The 23,888-nt window shown below is 37.8% G+C and overlaps 1 protein-coding gene and 1 pseudogene across 14 annotated transcripts in view; one reads left to right on the top strand and one right to left on the bottom strand.

Annotated features, from left to right (window-relative positions):
• Nucleotides 1-23,888, top strand: part of ZNF33B (zinc finger protein 33B) — a 64,402-nt gene that overhangs the window by 16,282 nt on the left and 24,232 nt on the right. For 5 of the 14 annotated variants that reach the window (NR_130949.2, NM_001305038.2, NM_001305037.2 and 2 more), the window contains one exon: nt 7,931-8,007. The exons of 8 other annotated variants lie outside the window; for them this stretch is intronic. The gene's annotated coding sequence lies outside the window, so the exon portion shown is untranslated. Of the gene's footprint in view, nt 1-7,930; nt 8,008-8,320; nt 8,402-23,888 lie in introns of all 14 variants that reach the window. One more of the 14 variants, NM_001305040.2, reaches the window with a different exon arrangement.
• Nucleotides 17,026-17,131, bottom strand: RNU6-1170P (RNA, U6 small nuclear 1170, pseudogene; annotated as a pseudogene).

The following is a 23,888-nucleotide window of genomic DNA, read 5'->3' as shown; positions in this document are numbered from 1 at the left end:
TTGTGTTAAATCTGTAGATCATTTTGGATGGTATTAGCCTTTTAAAAATATGACATCTCTCAAACTGTGAACATGAGATACTGTTTCCTTTATTTATGCCTTCTTTAATATTTTTCATCAGTATTTTGTAGTTTTTAGTATACAAGTCTTGCACCTTCTTGGTTAACTTTATTTCTAGATAGTATTTTATTCTTTTAGATGGTGCTATAGGTAGAATTGTTTTCTTAATTTTCTTTTCAGATTGTTCTTTGCAGGTGTGTAGCAACACAACGGATTTTTGTGTGTTGATGTATCCTGCAACTTTGCAGAATTCATTCATTAGCTATAGTATCTTTCTTGTAGTTTCTTTATGATCTATCTTTAGGATTATGTCACCTGTGAGTAGGCATAGTTTTATGTCTTCCTTTGCAATGGATGCCTCTCTTTCTTTTTCTTGTTTGGCTGGAACTTCTACTGCAGTGTTAAATAGCACTGGCAAAAGTGGGTATTTTTGTCTTCTTCCTGATGTTAAGAGGAAAGCTTTCTTTCATCAGTGAATATGATGTAAAGCTGTGAATTTTCTATATGTGCCCTTTATCATGTTGAAGAAGTTCTATTCTGTTTTGTGTTTTCTGAATGTATTTGTCCTGAAAGGGGTTGGATTTTGTCAACTGCCTTTACTGCATCAACTGAGATGATCGTGTCCTTTTTTTACTTGTTTTATTAATGAAGTGTATTACATTCATTTTCTTTTCTTTTTTTTTTTAAAAACATTGATTTTCTTATGTTGAACCACACAGGCATTTCCAGGATAAGTCCCCCTTGGTCACTTGGTCATGGTGTATACTCCTCTTAATATACCATTAAATATATTTTACTGGTATTTGTGTGTGTGTGTATGTGTTTGTGTAGCTTTGTATCTGTATTCATACGCATCATTCATTCATTCATTTATTCATTTGCATTTGTATTTTTTTTTTAAAAGAGTCTCACTCTGTTGCCCAGACTGGAGTGCAGTGGCACAATTATGGCTCACTGTAGCCTCGAACTCCCAGGCTCAAGTGATCCTCCCCACTCATCCTCCTGAGGGGGCTATAGCTGTATACCACCATGCCCACTATGCCCAGCTATCTTTTTTTTTTTTTTTTTTGGTGGAAACAGGGTCTCACTATGTTGCTCATGCTGGTCTTGGACTCCTGGCATCAAGTGATCCACCTTGGCTTCCCAAACCTCTGGGATTACAGGTGCTATCTACCATGCCCAGCCTCAGTCTAAAACTATTAACTGTAAGAACTGTCAGTTTCTCCCTTGCATTCTGTGTTTGCTTTACATGTTTCAGGATGCTGCTTGGTACATATATAGTTATAATTTTTATATCTTATTGATGGAACGACCCTTTATTCATATATAGTATCCTTCTTTGTCTCTTGTAACAGCTTATGACTTAATCTATTTTGAGTGAAATTAGTATAGCCACCCCAGTTCTCTTTTGGTGGCTATTTTCATGGAATATCTTTTATCAGCCTTTCAGTTTTAATTTATTTGTGTCTTTGGATTTTAAGTCAGTTTGTTTTAGACAATGTGTAGTTTGATCATATTTTAAAAAAATCTATTCTGAAGCTGGGTGGTTGACACCTGTAATCCCAGCACTTTGGGAGGATCTCTTGAGCCCAGGCCTTGGAGACCAGCCTGGTCTACAAAGTGAGACTCCGTTTCTACAAAAAAAATTAAAAAAAAAAAAATAGTTGGGTGTGGTGGTGTGCGCTGTGGTTCCAGCTACTTGGGAGGCTGAGGCAGGAGGATCCCTTGAGCCCAGGAAGTCAAGGGTGCATTGAGTCCTGTTTGTGTCACTGCACTCCAGCCTGGGTGACAGAGCAAGACCCTGTCTAAAAAATAAATAAATCAATCAAATCCATTCTGCCAGCCTCTGTCTTCTGATTGGTGAGTTCAAGCAATTATCATTTAAAGTAATCACCAACAAGGAAACACTTCTGCCATATTGCATTTTGTTTTCTGTATATTGTATACCTTCTTTGGTCCCATATTCCCTTTATTACTGCCTTCTTTGTGTTTCATTTTTTTTTTTTTTTTTCAAGACCAAAGTCTTGCTCTGTTGCCCAGGCCAGAGTGTAGTGGTATGATCTTGGTTCACTGCAACCTCCTCCTCCTGGGTTCAAGCAATTCTCATGCCGCAGCCTCCCAAGTAGCTGGGACTACAGGCACGTGCCACCACACCCAGCTAATTTTTGTGTCTTTAGTAGAGATGGTGTTTTGCCATGTTGGCCAGGCTCGTCTTGAACTCCTGGCTTCAAGTGATCCACCCATTTCGGCCTCCCAAAGTGCTTGAGATTACAGGCATGAGCCGACCACACCTGGCCTGATTTTTATATTTTTATTATTTTATATTATATATTATTCCCTTCTCATTTCCTTCTGTGTACATTTTTAAGATATTGTCTTTGTAATTAAACATGAGGATTACTTTCACTTTCTAAATTCATGACAATCTAGTTTAAATTGATTCCCTCATAACTTCAATATCATATGAAAACCTTGCTTCTACCTAGCACCTTACTCATCCCCTTTATGTTGTCACAGATTATGTCTTTATACATTGTGTGCCCATAATGTAAATTTATATTTAGTTCTTATCCATTTGTCTTTTAAGTCCTGCAGGAAGTAAAAAAATGGAGTTACAAAGCAAACATAATGACCCTGGCTTTTATATTTGTCTATATAGTTAACTTTATTGGAAGTCTTTATTTTTTCCTCCAGATTTGAGTCTAGTTTCTTTTTATTTCATCTTGAAAGACACCTTTTAGTGTTCCCTGTATAGCAGGCCTAGTAGTAACAAACTCAGCATTTGTTTATCTGGGATTATCTTCATTTCTCTTTCATTTTGAAGGACAGTTTTACCAGCTAGAGAATTCTCAGATGATAGTGTTTTTCTTTCAGGAATTTATATATGTCATCCATCTGTCTTCAGGCCTTCAATTGATTTCTGCGGAGATATGAGCTCCTGATATTAATGAGGGTCTCTTGTAAAGTAAAAATGCCACAAAACTTTCCCACCATTTGAAGTCGCCTTTTTCCTGATTTAGCATTCACTTGGTTACTGTAAACCTTTAATTATTTTCCAGAGTTCTAACAAGGTTGGTTTTTATAGTTCTTTTTTTTTTTTTGGTGTTTCTGTGTGGGGACAGTTGGGAGCTGTGTACTCCACCATTTGATTATGTCACTCAACACTGTTAAGTGAATGGACCAGTTGTCCATTCGAGAACAACAACAAAATGAGATATGCAAAGAAACAGGAAAAATGTGACCCATGCACAGGACTATCAATAGGCAACACAATAATAACTGCCATTTTAGTTGGCAGAAACTGGGTTGTCTGGTGCAGATCAATGTATATTGTGTAATTTGAGGAAGAGCCAGTAAAATAATGAAAAATGAACAAAACCTTGGGAAACGGATATCATTAGGTGCACCAGCATACACAAACGGGAGTATCAATATGAGAGAATAGAAAGGGAAAGAAAAATTTTTTGAAGAATTCGCAGAAACGCCCATAATTTGTTGAAGAAAACTAATATATTCATCCAAGAAGCTCAGCAAACTCATAGGAGGATAAATGCAAAGAGACTTATACCCAGACACGTCATAATGAAAGATGTTTTTATCATGCTCTTATTTGACCTGCCTTATAAAAGTGATAATACAAGTGCTGGTGAAGATTTAGAGAAACTGAATTATTCATACATTTTTGATGGTAAGTAAAATGCTACAGTCATTCTAGAAAATAGTTTGTCAGTTCCATTTAAAACTAAAAACAAACTTAGCATGTGAACCACTAGTTACACTGTTAGACATTTATCCTTGAGAAATAAAAACTTAATGTTCCATCAAAAAAATTTTATAGCAGTTTTATGGGTCATAGCCCAAACCCGAATAATCCAGATGTTCTTGAATGGATAAATAATGTGTAGTGTGTCCATACCATGAAGTGTTACCCAGTATTAAAATGGAATGAATGACTAATACATGTAACATTATGGATGAATCTCAAGAGATTAAGCTGAGTTTTAAAAAACCCAATCTCAAAAATTTACATGTTTGTTCTGGTCCACCCCATAGAGTTGGGATGAACCCTCCTGCCCCCTACGCTTGGTTTAGGTATCAAAACTGGTAATGATATCAAGAGTGTAAAAAAGAGTTTATTACTTATACACACAGGTTTCTAGGGAGACCAGAGAAGGCTCCTAAGCAGGTCTAAATGTGGATTGAGAAAGAAGGGAGAAGAATGGCTGCTTGTCATTAGGAATTTGGGGTAGGGTGAGCACACACAAAAAGGATGGAGTTTGTGTGGTTTCAGTTTCCTACTGGCATTGAGGGAGGGACCACCTAGGCTTTATTATTGGCTTGCCCAAATGTAGGGTAAGAGGGGAGATGGGTGGGATTTGAAATCTATTAGCCAATTATCACAAATGCAGTTAGGCTGTTTATCATAATACCTCATGATCTGTTATTTGTGTAACAGTTTTGAAATGACAGCATAGAGATGGAGAACAGATTCGTGGTTGCCAGCGTTAGGAAGGCAGAGAGGGTGGGAGATGGCTGTAGTTACCATGTGTGGGATCCTGGTGATGGGACTGTTCTGTATCCCCAGTGTTGTGATTTTCACAAAAATCTATACCTGTGGCAAAATTTATAGAACTAAATATACACAACTAATGCATGTGAAACTTGTGAAATCTGAATAAGATTGATTGAATGAATCAATGTCAGTTTTTGGTTGATATTGGACTGTAGTTCTGCAAATTGTTACCATGGAGAAAACTGGGTGAGGGGTATACAGAATCTTCTCATTATTTCTTCCAGCTGCATGTCAATTCAAGAATTGCCTCCAGGCTGGGTGCGGTGGCAAATGCCTGTAATTTCAACACTTTGGGAGGCCAAGGTGGGTGGATCACTTGAGCTCAGGAGTTTGAGACCAACCTGGGCAACATGGTGAAACCCCATCTCTACAAAAAGTAAAGACATTAGCCAGGTGTGGTGGTGCGTGCCTGTGGTCCCAGCTACTTGGGAAGCTGAGGTGGGAGGATCGCTTAAGCCCAGGAGGTCAAGGCTGCAGTAAGCTGTGATGGCACCATTTGACTCCAGCCTGGGTGACAGAGTGAGACCTTGCCTCAAAAAAAAAAAAAAAAAAAAAAAAAAAAAGAGAAAAAATGAACAATTTTCTTCAAATAAAAAGTTTTGTAAATTGCTTACCAACTATAAATAATTCAGCTTCTTAATCTTTAATAAAGATAATAGACAGGCTGGGTGCGTTGGTTCATGCCTGTAATCCCAGCACTTTGGGAGGCTGAGGTGTGCAGATCACGAGGTCAGGAGATGGAGACCATCCTGGCCAACATGGTGAAACCCCGTCTCTACTAAAATACAAAAAATTAGCCGGGCATGATGGTGCGCACCTGTAGTCCCAGCTACTCAGGAGGCTGAGGCAGGAGAATTGCTTGAATCCGGGAGGCGGAGGTTGCAGTGAGCCGAAATGGTGCCACGACACTCCAGCCTGGCGACAGAGCGAGACTCCATCTCAAAAAATAAAATAAATGTAATGGACAAAAACATATTGTACACTATTTGTTGAAAAATCATAGCACACTTTCTATATGAGAGATGCTGGATCTCTTGTATCACCAGTTTTACAGAATCACATAGAGGATCTACTGTCCATTACACAGACAAGAAAAAAATAATAAAACATAAAGGTTGGGAAGTCAAATTTTCATTTTGTGTGCAGACGATTTGATTATCTGTACAAGCAAAAGTAAATGTTACATAGAAGTGATTTAAATTACTAAAAAAATTAGTGAGGTGGTTGGCTGTAAGAACAATGCATATCAGTTGTGTTATTTATACACCACAAAACAGGTATATAAGAAACAATTTTCTGGAGAATTATATGAGATATAATTCACATACTGTACTCTTCACCAATTTTATGTGTATAAATCAATCACTGTTAGTGTATTTGCAGGATTGTGCAACCTTCCTGACAAATTTTTTTATTTTTTTTTAATATGGAGTTTCACTCTGTCACCCAGGCTGGAGTGCAGTGGCATGGTCTCAGCTCACTGCAACCTCTGCCTCCCGGATTCAAGCCAATTCTCCTGCCTTAGTCTCCTGAGTAGCTGGGATTACACAGCCTCCTGAGTAGCTGGGATTACAGTTGCATGCCCCCACACCCAGCTGATTTTATATTTTCACCATGTTGGCCAGGCTGGTCTCAAAACTCCTGACCTCAGATTATCCACGCACCTCAGCCTCCCAAAGTGCTGAGATTACAGGCGTAAGCCACCGCACCCAGCCGACAATTGTTTTTTTGAGGCAGAATCTTACTCTTGTCTCTCAGGCTGGAGTGCAGTGGCGTGATCTCGGCTCACTGCAGCTTCCACCTCCTGGGTTCAAGCGATTCTCCTGCCACAGCCTCCCGAGTAGCTGGGATTGCAGGCATGCACCACTATGCCCAGATAATTTTTTGTATTTTTAGTAGAGACAGGGTTTCACTGTGTTGGCCAGGCTGGTCTGGAACTCCTGACCTCAAGTGATCTGCCTGCATAGGCCTCTCAAAGTGCCAGGATTATAGGCGTGAGGCACTGCACCCAGCCGACAATGTTTCTTAGAACATTGTCATCATCCCTGAAACAAAGCCAATATCCATTAGCAATTACTTTCTCTTTCCCCTTTCCTGTAGCCCTTGGCAACCAAAATTGAATTTTCTGTCTGTGTGGATTTGCCTAATCTGGATGTTTCATAAAAATGGGACTGCATGTGACCTTTTCTGCCTGGCTGCTTTTTCTTAGCATAACATATTCAAGGTTCATCCATGTTGTAGCATGTATCAATATTTCACTTGTTTTTTATTACCATATAACATGGTATATAGGTATACTACATTTTATGTATCCATTTGTCAGTGGATGGACATTTGGTTTTAGTTCTACTTCTTGACTATTATGAATAATTCTGCTGTAATTGTTCATGTATAAGTTTTCACATGGACATGTATTTTCAGTCATTTCAGATATATACTTAGAAGTAGAATGCTGGTTATATGGTGTCTCTGTGTTTAACTTTCTTGGGAACTGCCTGATTGTTTCTCATAGTAGCCACAGTACTTTACAGTCCTGCCAGCAATGCATGAATTTTCCAGTTTCTCCAGTTTGCCAACACTTTTTATTAATATTATTGTTATTATTTATTATACCAATCCAGTAGTTGTAAAGAGGTATCTCATTGTGGTTTTTTGCATTTCCTAATGGCTAATGATGTTGAATGTCTTTTTTTTTTTCTTTTTGAGATGGAATCTCGCTCTGTTGCCCAGGCTGGGGTACAGTGGCACGATCTCAGCTCACTGCAGCCTCTGTCTCCTGGGTTCAAGCAATTCTCTGCCTCAGCCTCCTGAGTAGCTGGGATTACAGGTGCCCACCACCACGCCTGGCTAATTTTTGTATTTTTTGTGGAGATGGGGTTTCACCATGTTGGCCAGGCTGGTCTTGAACTCCTGACCTCATGATCCACCCGCCTTGGCCTCCTAAAGTGCTGGGATTACAGGTGTGAGCCACTGCTCCCGGACTGATGTTGAACATCTTTTTATGCACCTGTTGGCTATTTATGTATCTCCTTTGTCTATTTAAAACATTCACTTTATTTCATGACTTACAGAAAAATTGGGGAGGTAGTAGAGAGAATTGCCATTAACCCAGTTTCTGCTGTTATTAACATATTAGGGTGGTATGTTTGCAACAGCTGTTGAACCAACATTGGTACATGATTATTGACTAAAGTCCATATTTTTATTTAGTGTCTGCTGATTTTTACCTAATGTCCTTCTTTGTTCCAGGATCCCTTCCAGGGCACCATATTACATTTAGTTGTTATGTCTCTTTAGGCTCCTCTTGGCTATGGTGGTTTCCCAGACTTTCCTTGTTTTGGATGACCTTGACAGTTTGGAGGAATCCTGGTGAGGTATATATAAATTCCACTTATTGGAATGTATCTAATGTTTTTCTCAAGATAAGACTGGAATTATAGATTTTGGGGAAAAAGGCCACAGTAGTAAAGTACCTTTTTTGTCACATTATATCAAGCATGCATACTGTCACCATGTTTTATGACTTTTGATGTTGGCCTTAAATGTCTTGGCAAACATACAGTTTGTCCACTATAAAGTTACATCTTCTTCCTATTTTCCATATTGTACACATCGGAACAATGTTACTCTGCACAACTCACACGTAAGAAGTGGAGATTTATGAATTTTGTTGCTGTTGTTTTTTAGAGCACTTTCTTTCTGTCACTGCAAGATGGTCCAGGCTTATCTTATATATTTCCTTTCTGAAATCAGTCACCATTTCTTCAGGTAACCCTGTTTCCTTTTATTTGAGAATGGTATTAGAAACCAAGATAGGGGCTAATGGTGTGCTTACAGCAGTAGGGTGTGGCTGTCTCAGCTGACAGAACAGGGAAACACACATGTGCATAAACCATGTAATATACTTACTTATATAGTTCTACATGTAACCATCTGTATCTCTCTTAAGCTAAACATGTGTTTATACTTAAACCTTCAACTCTTTATTACCACATGGATCATTTTAGCTTTCTTCCCTTGCTTCAGTGTAAATTGCCATACCCAACAGTAAGAAATCTGGCTCTAACTATCCATCATCTATTTAGTTTCTTTCCTTTTTTTTTTTTTTGAGAGAGAGTCTCGCTCTGTCACCCAGGTTGGAGTGCAGTGGTGTGATCTTGGCTCATGGCAACTTCTGCCTCCTGGGTTCAGGTATTTCTCCTGCTTCAGCTTCCCAAGTAGCTGGGGCTACAGGTGCTTACCACCATGCCCAGCCAATTTTTGTGTTTTTAGTAGAGATGGGATTTTGCCATGTTGTACAGGCTGGTCACGAACTCCTGATCTTTTAGGTAGTCCACCCACCTCGGCCTCCCAAAGTGCTGGGATTAAAGGTGAGAGCCACCATGCCTGGCCTTCCATTTACCTTCATTATTCTTTCCCTGTATACATGTATAGCACTGCCAGAATTGTTAATCATACCCATGTGGAAAATAATTTTATAATTTTATCAACTAAAATATAGTACTTATGTGCAGACCTGCCTTTAGTCTCACAGACTTCTATCTCTTTCCAAAGCAATTAAGGTCAAGACTTCCTCCTGCATTGAAGGGGGTCCTTCATTGATACTATTTTTTGCATTTGTAATGCAATTAGATGGTTTTGGTACAGGATGCCTTTATTCCTGGCTTCTTCTTAACCCATGACTTAGGTGAAATGGGTAATTCCTTGAAATACACAAACTGCCAAGACTTACACAGAAGAAATAAACCATTCAAATGGACCAATATCAGTTAAATAAATTGAATCCATAAAGCTTTCAGAAAAGAAAGAAAGAAAATAAATTATCAGACTCTTTTGGTTTCATTGGTGATTTCTGTGCAATATTTAAGGAAGAAATATACCAGTTCTCTACAGTGTCTTTCAGAAAAGAGATGCAAAGGGAACCTTCCTAACACTTTTTTAAAAGGCTATTTTTTCTCTAATCCTAAAAGCATATGAAGACCTTGTGAAGAAGAAAAACCGCACACTAATATCCCTTATGAATGTAGATGCAAAAATCCAAGTAGAATACAACATCTTATAAAAATAATTAGATGCCATGACCACTCAAGGCTGGTCAGAGTTTGAAAATCAATTAATCTGGCTGGGTGCAGTGGATTACGCCTGTAATCCCAGCACTTTGGGATGCTGAGGTGAATGGATCACCTGATGTGAGGAGTTCGAGACCAGCCTGGCCAACGTGGTAAAACCCTGTCTCTATTAAAAATACCAAATAAGCTGGGCGTGGTGAAGCACGCCTGTATTCCCAGCTCCTCTGAAGGCTGAGGCAGGAGAATCGCTTAGAACCTGGAACGCAGAGGTTGCAGTGAGCTGAGATTGCATCACTGCACTTCAGACTTGGTGACAGAGCAAGACTCTGTCTCAAAAAAAAAAAAAAAAAAAATCAACTTCTGTAACCTGCCACGTCAACAGGCTACAGAAGAAAACTGTATCATGTCAATTGATGGACAAGAAGCATTCAACACCCATTCATGATAAAACTCAGCAAACTAGGAATAGAGAAGAACTTCCTCAACTTGATAAAAAAAAAAAATCTGCAGGAAACCTACTGCTAAGATCATACTTAGTGGTGAGACACTGGATACTTTCTCCCTAAGATAAGGAAACAAGATGTCCTGTCTCTTCACTCTTACTCAACATCTCATTGGAAATTGTAGGTAATGCCATAAGACAACAAAATAAGAGGCATACAGATGGGAAAGGAAGAAATAAAACTTTCTGTGTTTGTACAGGCATGATTGCCTAAGGAGAAAATTCTAAAGAACTCCCAAAACTGTTAAGTCTTTATAGCCAAGTTGGAGGATAGAAGCTTAATAGAGAAAAATCAATTCCTTTTTTCATTATGTAGTTGTGTTATGTGTCCTTTTATTGTTGAGTTGTAAGAGTGTTTTACATATTCTGTGTACAAGTTGCTAATTACATATATTATTAGCCAGTATTTTTCTCCCATTTGTGGGTTGGCATTTTGTTGTCTTTACTTTGTACTTGGTAGCAAAAGAGTTTTTCATTCCATGAAGTCTAATTTGTTTTTTCTTTTGTTGCTTGTATTTTTGGTACTTTATCTAAAAGGGCTTTGTCTATCCCTAGGGCATGAAGATCCACTCCTATATTTTCTTTAAGTAATGGCTTTTAAATGTAGACCTGTGATCCATTTTCAGTTAGTTTTTGTATATGGTGTGAGGAAAGGAATAATTTTGGTTGTTTTTCATACAAATATTCAGTTGTCTCAGCATCATTTCTTGAAAAGGTGATTTTTCTTTTTTCTCTTTTTTTTTTGAGACGGAGTCTCACTCCGTCACCCAGGCTGGAGTGCAGTGGCATGATCTTGGCTCACTGCAACTTCTGCCCCCCAGGTTCAAGCATTTCTCCTGCCTCAGCCTCCCAAGTAGCTAGGATTACAGGCATGTGCCACCACACTTGGCTAATTTTTTTTGTATTTTTAGTAGAGATGGGATTTCACCATATTGGCCAGGCTCGAACTCCTGACCTTGTGATCTGCCTGCCTCAGCCTCCCAAATTGCTAGGATTACAGGCGTGAGCTACCACGACCAGCCAAAAAGGGGATTTTTCAGCATTAAGTTTTCTTGGCATCATTGTTGAAAATTAACTGAACATAATATATTGTAGTGTTTATTTATGAATTCTCAATTTTATTTCACATGTTTACCTCTATGCCACTATCATGCCATCTTGATTATTGTAATTTTGTAGCAAATTTTCAAATTGAGAAGTGTATGTCTTCTAACTTTCTACTTCTTTTTAAAGATTGTTTTGATTATATTCAGCTCCCTAAATTTCCACATGAAATTTTAGACCAGCTTGTTAGTTTCCTCAAAAAGGCAGATGGGATTTTGGTAAGGATTGTGTTGAATTTAGATATTAATTTGGCAGTTATTGCCATCTTAACCATATGAATGCAATTCAGTGCCTTTCCATTTATTTAGGCTGTCTTTAATTACTTCCATCATTGTTTTGTGGTTTTCAGACTACAAGCTCTGTATTTCCTTGATTAAAGTTACAAGTATTTTATTCTTTTTGATGCTATTGTAAATGGAATTTACTTATTTATTTATTTATTGAAACAGAGTTTTGCTCTTATTGCCCAGGGTGGAGTGCAATGGCGCGATCTTGGCTCACTGCAACCTCTGCTTCTGGGATTCAAGCGATTCTGCTGTCTCAGCCTCCCAAGTAGCTAGGACTACAGGCACATGCCATCATGCCTGGCTAACTTTTTTGTATTTTTAGTAGAGACAGGGTTTCACCATGTTGGCCGGGCTGGTCTCAACCTCCTGACATCAGGTGATCCAGCCACCTCGGCATTCCAAAGTGCTGGGATTACAGGCTTGAGCCATTATGCCTGGCCGGAATTCTTTTTAAAATTTCATTTATGATTTGTTTGTTGTTAGTGAACTTGCACCCTACAACATTGTTGAACTCTTTTATTAGTTTTAATAGTGTTTTAGTAGATTCTTTAAGATTCTCTATATGCATGAGCAGTCAACTGCAAATACATATAGTTCCACTTTTTTTTTTCAATCTGAATTCCCCTTCCCCTTGCTTGTGTTGACTACAATCTGCTGTGTGATGTGTAACTGGCAAGAAGGCATTCTTATCTTGTTTTTGTTCTTAGAGTAAAATCATTGTACCTTTCATTATTTAGTATGATGTTAGTGGTGGACTTTTTGTAGATGCCTTTAATCAGGCTCAGGAAGTTTAACTGTATTCCTGGTTTGTTGATTGTTTTTATAGAGAAGATGGGCATTGGATTGTGTTAAATGCTTTTTCTCTGTATACTGAGATGATCATGTGGTTATTGTTTCTTTTCTGCTTATGTGATGTATTAGTTGATTTTCAAATGATAAACCAAACTTGCCTTACTAGTATAAATCCCCTTTGATCATTGTATGTAATCCTTTTTATATACTACTAGATGAAATTTGCTAGTATTTTGTTGAGGATTTATAGGTCTGTAATCATGACACATGCATTTGTAGTTTTTTCATGTCTGATTTTGGTACCAGGGTAGTAATGGGATCATAGAATGAGCTGGCAAGTGTTTCTTCTTATTTTCTTGGAGTTTTTGAGTAATTGATACTTCTTTTTAAATGTTTGATAAAATTCTCCAGTGAACCATATGGACCTGGGTTTTGTTTTTGTTTTTGTAATGGGAAGTTTTCTTGTTTGTTTTTTGTCTTTTTTGAGACAGAGCCTCACTATATTGCCCAGGCTGGAGTGCAGTGGTGCAGTCATGGCTCACTGCAGCCTGACTTCCCAGGCTCAGGCAATTTTCCCACCTCAGCCTCCCAAGTAGCTGGGACTACAGGCATATGCCACCACATGCAGCTAATTTTTTGTAATTTTTTTATAGAGAGGGGGTTTCACCATGTTGCCTGGGCTGGTCTCAAACTCCTGAGTTCAAGTGATCTGCCTGCCTTGGCCTCCCAAAGTTGTAGGATTACAGGCATGAGCCACTGCATCCCACCTGTAATGGCGAGTTTTAAATTTACAACTTCAATCTTTTTACTTGTGTAGGTCATTTCAGATTTTTCTTTTTCTTCTTGAGTTGGTTTTAGTCGTTTTTGTTTTATGGATTTTTCCATTTTGTTGAAGTTAAATAATTTGTTGACATACATTGTTCATACCATTCTTTGTAATTATTTTTATTTCTGTAAGAGTACTAGTAATACATCGTTAATCCCTACATTTAGTAATTTGAATCTTCTTTTTTTTTTTTTCCATTGTCAGTCTAATTAGAGGTTTGTATATTTTGTTGATCTTTTCCAGGAATCTGCTATTTTTCTGTTCTCTAGTTCACTAATTTTTACTCTATAATCTTTCTGCTTTCCTTCCTGCCTTCTTCTTGCTTTGAGTTTGTATTGCTGCTCCTGTCCAGTGTTTTAAGGTGGAAAATTAGTTTATTGATTTGAGATCTTTTTTAATATGGTTATTACAGCTACAAATCTCTCTCTAAGCATTGCTTTATCTGTGTTCCATAAGTTTGAGTATGTCTTCATTTTTACCTCATAGCATTTTTTCTAATTTGCCTTCTTATTGCTTCTTTGACTTTTTTTTTAACTTTGGAATGTATTATATAATTTGTGCATGTTTGTGCATTCTCAAAATTCCTTTGTCTTACTGATTTGTAATTTCCACTGTGGTCAGAGAATCGTTTTAAATTTATTCTGGGGAATGTTTCATGTGTACTTTTAAAGAATACCTGTTCCACTGTTTTCAAGTGGAATGTTCTGTCTATATCTCTTAGATCTGGTTGCTTTAGAGTGTCATCTATATCTTCTGTTTCCATGTTTATATTGTGCCCAGTTGTCCTAACCATTATTGAAAATGGGTTATTACAGTTTGCAATTAGTATCATAGACTTGTGTATTTTTTCTTTTAATTCTGTCAGTTTTTGCTACGCGTACTTTGAGGCTCTGTTAGTAGTATATATGCTTAGAATTGTTATGTCTCCTTTATCGATTGACCCTTTTATTGTTATATTAATAAAATTCCCCTCTTTATCCTTAGTAAAATTTTTGTGTTAAAGTGTATTTTGTGTGATATTAGGATAGCTACTCCAGCCTTATTGGTGCCATGTGCCTGATATATCTTTTTCTGTTTTCAAATTTTCAACCTGTTTGTATCTATCTCTTATAGATAGCACATGTTTGGACTTTCACACTTTCAACAACCTGAGAATTGTTGCTTTTTGATTGGATTTTCAAATCATTCCCTTTTTCCTGTCGTTATTGCTATACAGATGGTTCCTGACTTACAATGGTTTGACTTATGATTTTTTAACTTTTCAATGGGTTTATTGGGTTTGAAACCCCTTTGTATTTTCAGGATTTACAAAGGTTCAACTTAACTATTTTTTCTGACTTTACTAGAATGTGTTCCCATTTTAAGTGGAAAAACAATATTTTCAACTAATTTGACTATTATCAGGATGTAACTTGATCATAAGTCAAGGAGCATCTGTAGTTGGATTTACCTCTGCCATTTTTGTTTTCGGTCTCGTGCTTTTTTGATACTCTATTCCTTTTATTTCTGCTTTCTTTTACATGACATGAATATATTTTATTATTTTTATAGGTTTTGAGGGTACAAGTGCAGTTTTGTTACCCAGACATATCACATAGAGATGAAGTCTGGGCTTTTAGTGTGGCCATCAGCATAATAGTATACATTGCACCCATCAGGTAATTTCTTATCCTTCACCCACCTCCCCACCCCTCCAAGTCTCCAGTGTCTCTCATTCCACTCTCTATGTTTGTTTATGTGTACACAACGTGAAATGAATATATTTTAGTATAACGTTTTAATTTTTAAAATTACTATGTCTCTTTGAAAATTTATTTACCTAGTGGTTGCTCTAGAACTTACCTAATAAATCTTACCTTATCAAAATCTACTTCAGATTTCTACTACCTTAACTCTAGTAAAATACAGAAACATTACCTATATATAGCTCTATTTCCTCTTCTCCATTTGTTATTTTTATATATATTGCATATATATTTAAAACCCAACAATACATTGTTATACAGGCTGAGCATCCCAAATCTGAAAATCTCAAATGCTCCAAAATCTGAAACTGAGTGCCAACATGCTCAACATGCTCAAAGGAAATGCTTGTTGGAGCATTTCAGATTTTAGATTTCTGGATTTGGGAAGCTCAACCAGTAAGTATAATGTAAATATTCCAAAATTTGGAAAAAACTCTAAAGTCAGAAACACTTTTGATGCCAAGCATTTCAGATAAGAGATACTCAACCTGTAATTGTAACTTTATGTCATTTGATGTCTTTTTTTTTTTTTTTTACTTTAAGTTCTGTGATACATGTGCAGAACATGGAGGTTTGTTACATAGGTATATGTGTGCCATGGTGGTTGACCCATCCTCTTAAGTTTCTTCCCCTTGCCCCCAACCCCTCAATAGGCCCCAGTGTGTGTTGTTCCCCTCCCTGTGTTCATGTGTTGATGTCTTTTAAAGAAGCTGAAAGAAAGATAGGAAGTATCTATTTGTAGAGTTTGGTATACTAACCTTATTCTTCATTTCTGCTTTAATTCATTTGTTTGTGTGGATTCAGACTTAACATCTAGTGTAATTTCCTTACTCCAGTACAGATCTGTACCTATTTTTTTTCCCCCTGAGATGGAGTCTCGCTTTGTTGCCCAGGCTGGAGTGCAGTGGCACGATCTGGGCTCACTGTAACCCCTGTCTCCTGGGTTCAAGTGATTCTTCTGTCTCAGCCTCCCGAGTTGCTAGGATTACAGGCATGCGCCACCACACCCAGCTAATTTTTGTGTTTTTAGTAGAGATGGGGTTTCATCATGTTAGCTAGGCTGGTCACGAACCCCTGACCACAGATGATCTGCCCGCCTTGGCCTCCCGAAGTGCTGGGATTACAGGCATGAGCCACCACACCCAGCTGCTCTGCTTATTTTTTTTGCTTTATTCTTTTTTTTTTTTTGCTTTATTATTTGTTTCCTTGTTTATCAATGTATTTCTTTTTTTTGAAACAGGGTCTCTCTGAGTCCTTGAGGCTGGAGTGCAGTGGTAGAATCGCAGCTCATTGCAGCCTCAACCTCCTGGACTCAAACAATACTCCCACCTCAGCCTCCTGAGTAGCTGAGACTATAGGTGTGTGCCACTATGCCCGGGTAATTAAACACATTTTTTTTTAGAGATAGGGTCTCAGTATGTTGCCTAAGCTGATCTTGAACTCCTGGGTTTAAGTGATTCTCCTGCTTCAGCCTCCCAAAGTGTTGGGATTACTGGCGTGAGCCACCATGCCTAGCCTGCCTTATTGTTAAATATATTGCATTTCTATATGTTATAGGTCCAACAATACAATTATAAACATTGACTTATACATATTTGCTTATTAAATTGGGTAGGAAAAGAAAGGAGAAAAAGTGTGCCTTTTTTACTCTCTCGTATCATTGCCTTTACCCACAATAATTGTGGATTTGATCTAGTGTTTGGAGTCACTTGTTTTCACCCTAAAGAACTTCTTTTCTTTCTTTTATTGTTAGTCTACTAGCAATGGATTCTCAAGTTTTTTTGGTTTCTATTTGTTTTTTAATTTGAGGATTTTAAATTTTCACCCTCTGTTTTGCAAATAGTTCTGCTATTTTAGGTGACAAGTTATTAACAAAAATTTTTTTTCAGTACACTGAATATGTCATCCTGCCTCCTTCTGGCCTCTACTGTCTCTGAAGAGAAGTCATATGTTAATCTTAGGACATTCCCTTCATGTGAGGAGTTGTATTTCTCTTGATGCTTTCAGGATTTTCTCTTCGTCAACAGATTTGCAAGTTTTTGGCCTCTTTTTTTTTTTTTTTTTTTAAATTTAATGCAGCACTTCATGAACTTCTCTGTCTTTCTTGTGTAGCTACTGTGCTAATCTTCTTGGTATTGTTCCAGTTTTAGTGTATGTGTTGCAAGGTGAGCATAGCCATTCGTTTGAATATTTTTTCTGCTACTTGATATTTTTCCCCTCCTTCTGGTACTTCTATTATGAATATATTGGTGTAGTTAATGGTATTCCTCATTTTTTGAGGGTTTCTTCATTTTTCCTCACTCTTATTTCTCTCTGTTCTTCAGATTACTTAATCTCTATTGATCCATCTTCAAGTTTACTGATTATTTTGCCAGCTACAACCTCTCTTTTCTTTCTTTTTTTTTTTTTGAGATGAAATTTCACTCTTGTTGCCCAAGCTGGAGTGCAGTGGCACTATCTCATCTCGCTGCAACCTCTGCCTCATGGGGTCAAGCGATTCTCCTGCCTCAGCCTCCAGAGTAGCTGGGATTATAGGTATGTGCACTACCACACTCAGCTAACTTTTTTGTATTTTTAGTAGAGACCCCGGGGTTTCACCATGTTGGTCAGGCTGGTCTCGAACTCCTAGACGTCAGGTGATTTGCTTGCCTTGGCCTCCCAGAGTGCTGGGATTACAGGCGTGAGCCACCCCACCTGGCCAAGTCTTTTGTTGAGTCATTCTAGTGAGTTTTCCATTGCAGTTATAATTTTTGAATCCAGAATTTTCATTGTATTCTTTTCTGTCTTCTTACTAATATTTTTCTGTTTGATGAGACATCATCATACCTCCCTTTTCTAAATAGTGTTTCCTTATGAACATATTTATTTTTATTTTTATTTTTAATTTTGATACAGTCTTGCTGTGTCACCCAGGCTGGAGTTCAGAGGCATGATGTCAGCTCACTGCAACCTCTGCCTCCCAGGTTCAAGCCATTCTCTTGCCTCAGCCTCCAGAGTAGCTGGGATTACAAGTGCTGGCCACCACACCCAGCTAATTTTTGTATTTTTAGTAGAGACAGGGTTTTACCATGTTGGCCAGGTTGGTCTTGAACTCCTGACCTCAGGTGATCCACCTGCCTCAACCTCCCAAAGTATTGGGATTACAGGCGTGAGCCACTGCACCTGGCCTGAACATATTTAAAATAAGTGCTTTGAGGTCAGCTAAGTCTGATATCTGGATCTTCTCAAGGGCAGTTGCTGTTGCCTGCCATTTTTCCTGTATATAGATGACAGTCTCCTGTTTCTTTGTATGTGTTGTAATTTTTTTGTTGAAGAATAGACATTGTAGAGAATACTTTGTACTTTCTCTAGATACTGATTCCTCTATTCTCTCTAGGGCTTGTTGTTGTTTCTTATTTATTTAGGCAACTTGACTACTATTTGAGAGAAGCTTTTTCACTCCCATTGGGTTCTCACTGATGATGCTTGTCAGAGGGCCCTGCCTTAGAAATGCACACTATCTTTAGCATGGCAGTGGTGTTAACAGTGCTCTCTTTGAGTGAATCTTTCTGTGATTGCTGTGTTAGCCTGTCTGCCTCTGTTGCTGTTACACTTTGCTGATAGCCGCTACTGATTGCTGACATATTGCTCTATTGTTTTCAACACTGTCCTGGACCATATGTTGCTCTTAGTTTGCTCTTGTTAAATTTGGGTTCCTTCTAGAGGGCTGTCTTTGAGGCTTTGAGTTTGCTTTTTATGTTGCCATTCTGAAAGTCACCTCCTAGAAAACATAAATTTAAAAATCATGACTGTGGAAAATCTGTGTATGTATTTGTATGAGTGTTTCTGGTAGATAGGAAGACATCTAATTGCCCTGGATGTCTCTTCTTAGGCATCTCTTTCCCTTGCTCTCTCCAGTAAACTTTCAGTTGGTCTGTGGTTTAGCTTGTTGCTGTCATAGAACTGCTACCCTCTTCTTAATTGGTTATCATTGAATTTCCATTCTTTTTGAGGGTGATCTTAGGCTTGCACTCACCCAAACTCTGTTCTGAACAAAGTGAGTTTTCTGGAGGAGAGTTTTGGAACTCTCTGTCCTTACAGCTGGCCCTAGGTGAGAGTCCTGCTCCATTATTCGGGATCTGGAGGCTACAGCAGTGTTTTGCTTTTCTCTGGGTGGGTGATACTGTGCTTTATGATCAGGGATCTGGATTGGGGCAGTAGTCTCTGGTCTTCTTGGTTTCTTTTGGAATCTCTTCTCAATGACCTAGGTAGGCATTGTACTCCACTATTCTCAGACTGCCATGACTGGGCTGGATATTTTAATTGGGGTGGTGGAGGAAGCTGGCTCAAGGCCTTTTGGCAGTTCTTTCCTAGAATTTGAAGCTGTGGGGGTTGAGGAGCACTGGTGGCTTGCAGGAGATAGATGCACACAGAGAGAGGCCTGGAGATCTGTAAAGGGGCCTCCATGAATGTTCAGCAAAGTACTAATCAGCTCATGTATATGAGGAAATGAGTGAAATAACTTTTGAAAAGAATCAGAGGGAACAGTACACAGTACTCACATAGGGCCTGGAGAAGGACTGATCCTGCCAGCCAGCGTGGAAAAACTCATAATTCAGAGTATTGGGTAGAGTGTTCAGAAAGGTCTTTTCTCCGTGGTGAGGAGTAATGTGCCCCAAACTGAGCACTGCTCCAGATTTGCCTAAGAAATCATAAAAGCAAGACCTGAAAGTGTCACATTGTTTCCAAGTGACTTAAGTGCATCCTAGAACAAAGCACAAAAATACTTATAGGAAGCCAAAAGTACCCAGCATCCAACCAAGTAAAACTCTCAGTCTTCCATCCATTGAAATATTTCCAGACTTACAGACATATGGGAAAACATGAGCTTTCTCAAAGAGACTAACCAGGAAATTGAAATGGACTCAGAATTGCCATAGATATTAGAATTAACTGACAGGTTCATTGAAAACAGTGCTATAATTTGGTTCCATATGTTCTAAAACTTAAGTAGAGACACAGAAGATTAAAAAAAAAAAAACAAATCAAAATTCAGTGTAACAGAAAAGATAGAAATCAGATTTCCAGAAATGAAAACTATAATGCTTGAGATGAAAAATACATGGCCAGTCATTGGTGTCTCACACCTGTAATGCCAGCACTTTGGGAGGCCAAGGCAGGTGGATCTCCTGAGCTCAGGAGTTCGAGACCAGCCTGGGCAACATGATGAAACCTCATCTGTACCAAAAATGAAACAACAAAAAAATTAGCTGGGTGTGGTGGTGCATGCCTGTTGTCCTAGCTACTTGGGAGGCTGAGGTGGGAGGATCACTTGAGCCTTGGGAGGTGGGTGTTTCAGTGAGCCAAGATTGCACCTCTGCACTGCAGCCTGGGTGATGGAGTGAGACCCTGTCTCCCCCCAAAAAAAAAAAAAAAAAAAAAAGAATATCACATAGAGCAAGAATTAATGGCAGTTCAAAGATTGCAGAAGAATAAGATTATTGAACTTAAAAACACAGTAATAGAAGCCATACAAATGAAACAGAGAAAAAGCATATTTGAAAAATAAGCAAGCCCTTGGGCCAGTTGCAGTGGCTCATGCCTGTAATCCCAGCACTTTGAGAAGCCAAGGTGGGTGGATCACGAGATCAAGGGATCCAGACTATCTTGGCGAACGTGGCAAAACCCTGTCTCTACTAAAAATACAAAAATTAGCCGGGTGTGGTGGCAGGCACCTGTAGTCCCAGCTACTCAGGAGGCTGAGGCAGGAGAATCACCTGAACATGGGAGGCAGAAGTTGCAGTGAGGCTGAGATTGCACCACTGCACTCCAGCCTGGTGACAGTGAGACTGTGTCTCAAAAAAAAAAAAAAAAAAAAAAAAACAAGCCCATGTGAGCTTTAGGAGAACTTCAGGACTTCAGGTAGTCTCTTAACACACATGGAATTGGAGTCTCTAAAAGGAAAGTGGGAAAAGAACAGAAAACAGTATTTTGAGAATAATGAAAAAATTTCCAAATGTGTTGGGAACCTACCGATCTAAGAAGCTCGTCAAACCCTGAGCACAAGAGGCATGAAGAAAACTACACCAAGCCACATGAATCATAACCAGAATGCTCTAAATCAGTGTTAAAATGAAGTCCTCAAAGCAGCCAGAGATAAAGGACATGTTTTATGGAGGAACAAAGGCAAGGATGATAACAGATTTCTCCTTAAATGAGGCAACAGAGAAAATAGTAGAACATTATTTTTGGTTTTAAAAGCAAAAATCTCAATGTAGAGTTATATACTTGGTAAAAATAGCTATAAGAAACAGTGAAGAAATAAGGACATTCCAGTTAAACAAAGCTGAAAGATTTCCTCTCCAGCAGACCTGCATCACAAGACATGTTCTGATGTCTGATGGAAATCTGGATCTACTCAGGGGGATGAAGAACAGGAAATGTTGACTACTTGGATATGTATACAAGATATTTTTCTTTATGTAAGTCTCTAAAAAGGATATTGACTTTATACAAAAATAACATCAAATGTATTGTGGGGTTTATAACATATATTGAAAATACATGACAATCACAGCCTGAAAAGGCTATGAAAAAGAAGTAAAGTATATACTATTGGAAGATTCATATATATACTGTTACTGAAAAGTACACTGATTAAAGCTTTTATAAACATTGATGATCACAGAAAATATAAATGGTATATAACACCCCATTTAAAGGCAGAGATTTCTGGATAAGATAAATAAAAATAAGATCCAATCATGCTGCCTATAAAGGAAACATGTTAGATTCAAAGACAAATAGATAAACAAAAAGAATGGGAAAAGATGTAGAATGGTAAAATTATTCACAAGGCTGCAGTGCTGTGACAGCCAGATGAAGTAGCTTTCAGAGCCAGGAATACCAGTGATAAAGATTTTTTTTCATATTGATAGAGATCATTTCATCAAGAGGATTTAACAATCCTAAACTTAGTAACAGATTTGCAAAATATTTGAAGCAAAATCTGATAGATCTGGAAGGAGAAATAGATCCACAGTTATAATCAGAGGCTTTAGCATCCTTTTAATAATTAATAAAACAGGAAATGGAAAAGGAGCAAAGATATAATAGACTTAACCCTAAATAACTTAATTGACATTTATAAAATATTCTTCTGCACACTCCTCCCCAAATAAAACAGTGGAATATACATTCTTTTCAAGGGCAGATGAACGAATATATTAACAAAGGTAAATCACATCCTGATTGTAAAGCAAATCTTAATAAATATAAAAGGATTGAAGTCATATAGAGTATTTTCTCCCACCATAAGGGGTTTAAATTTAGTTAAATTAAACATCAATAACAGAAGTATCTATTAAATCCCTAATAGTTGGAAACTGAATATAAGTCTATGTAATGGATGCTTCAAAGAAGAATTCGAAGAGGAAATTAGAAAGTGTTTTGAACTTTGGGTTAATGAAAATGGAATTTATGGGAAATTTACATATAGGAAATTCATAGGAAATATAAAATACATACAATACTCATTGATTTCATTGTTTTCCATTTTGATCCTTAGTCCTTTTTGCTACTTACTTTTGGGTTTAATTTGCTTTTTTGTAGCTTTTTAAGGTAGAAGCACCTGAGGTCATTGATTTGAGATCTTTCTTATGCGACACAAATAAGCATTGTGTGTGTTTGTATTGTGTGCATATATATCCACCATATGTAAATGCATATATGAAGTTTCCACAATATGTAAATGCATATATGACGTTTGTCATATATGGGATATAATGTATTATGTGTAATATATATTAAATATATAATGTGTAAATTTCACATAGAGGGAATTTCATGTGTATGCATTTATACATATGTATATATGTAATATACATATGTATATATGTAATATACACATGTATGAAGTTTAACTTGTGTTGGATAAGAAGAAAGGTCTAAATCAATGGTCTTAGCTAATTCCACTTTGAGAATGTAGAAAAGAAGACAAATCCATATAATAGTAGAAGAAAGGAAATAATAAAAAACAAAATGGAGAACAATATAATCTGTAGAACCAGAAAAACAGTTGAGAAAATCGGTGAAACCAAAAGCTGTTTCATTGAGAAGATCGATAAAATGGATAAACTTCTAGGTGGAACAGATTATCAATATCAAAAATAAGAATGATGTATCACTGAAGATTCTATAGATATTATGAAGGAAGTGAGGGAATACTATACCTGTAAATTATCAGTTTGACGATTTTGATGAAATGAACAGTTTCATTCAAATAAACAGCTATTACGGCTTGCTCCAAAACAAATAGATAACCTTTCCACAAAGAAAACCCCAGGTCCCTAGATGCTTCAGTAGTGAATTCCAGCAAACAATTAATAGTACCAATTTATAAAGACTTTTCCAGAAAATTCAAGAAGAGGGAATACTTCCTAAATCATTCTTTGAGTCCAGCATTGCCCTAATAACAAAACCAGACAGAGACATTGCAAGGAAAGAAAGCTGTAGACCAGTGTCCTTCATGAACATAAATTCAAAAACACTAGTGATTAGAAACCAGTGGTATATAACAAGGTTATTAATACCTCATGACCAAGTGTGGTTAATCCCTGGCAGGCTTTTTCAACATTTGAAAAGCAGTCAGTGTAATTCCCTGTATCTCGGCCAACTTCATGGCTAGGTGACCTGTGCAGTCACACGTTGCTACACTCTTGTAAGAAGGGATCCTGTACTTCACTTAATGCCCTGCTGTTGCCATCTTGAAGTTCTTCACAGTTTTATCTTTGAACTCGTGATTTGTATGTGAAGTCTGATGGACACTGGACTATGTGTGCAAGTAGACAGGATACTTGAGAGGCAGTGCCCTACTAAGCTGTTGGTCTGTGTAGTATGGCCTGGGAGTGTTCTGGAATTGTGTGTGGGTGGCCAAGGCCATGACCTTTGTC

This window comes from Homo sapiens, chromosome 10 (genome assembly GCF_000001405.40).
Source record: "Homo sapiens chromosome 10, GRCh38.p14 Primary Assembly".
NCBI lineage: Eukaryota > Metazoa > Chordata > Mammalia > Primates > Hominidae > Homo > Homo sapiens.
The sequence above is the reverse complement of the archived record's forward strand: the minus strand, read 5'-3'. Positions and strand labels throughout refer to the sequence as shown.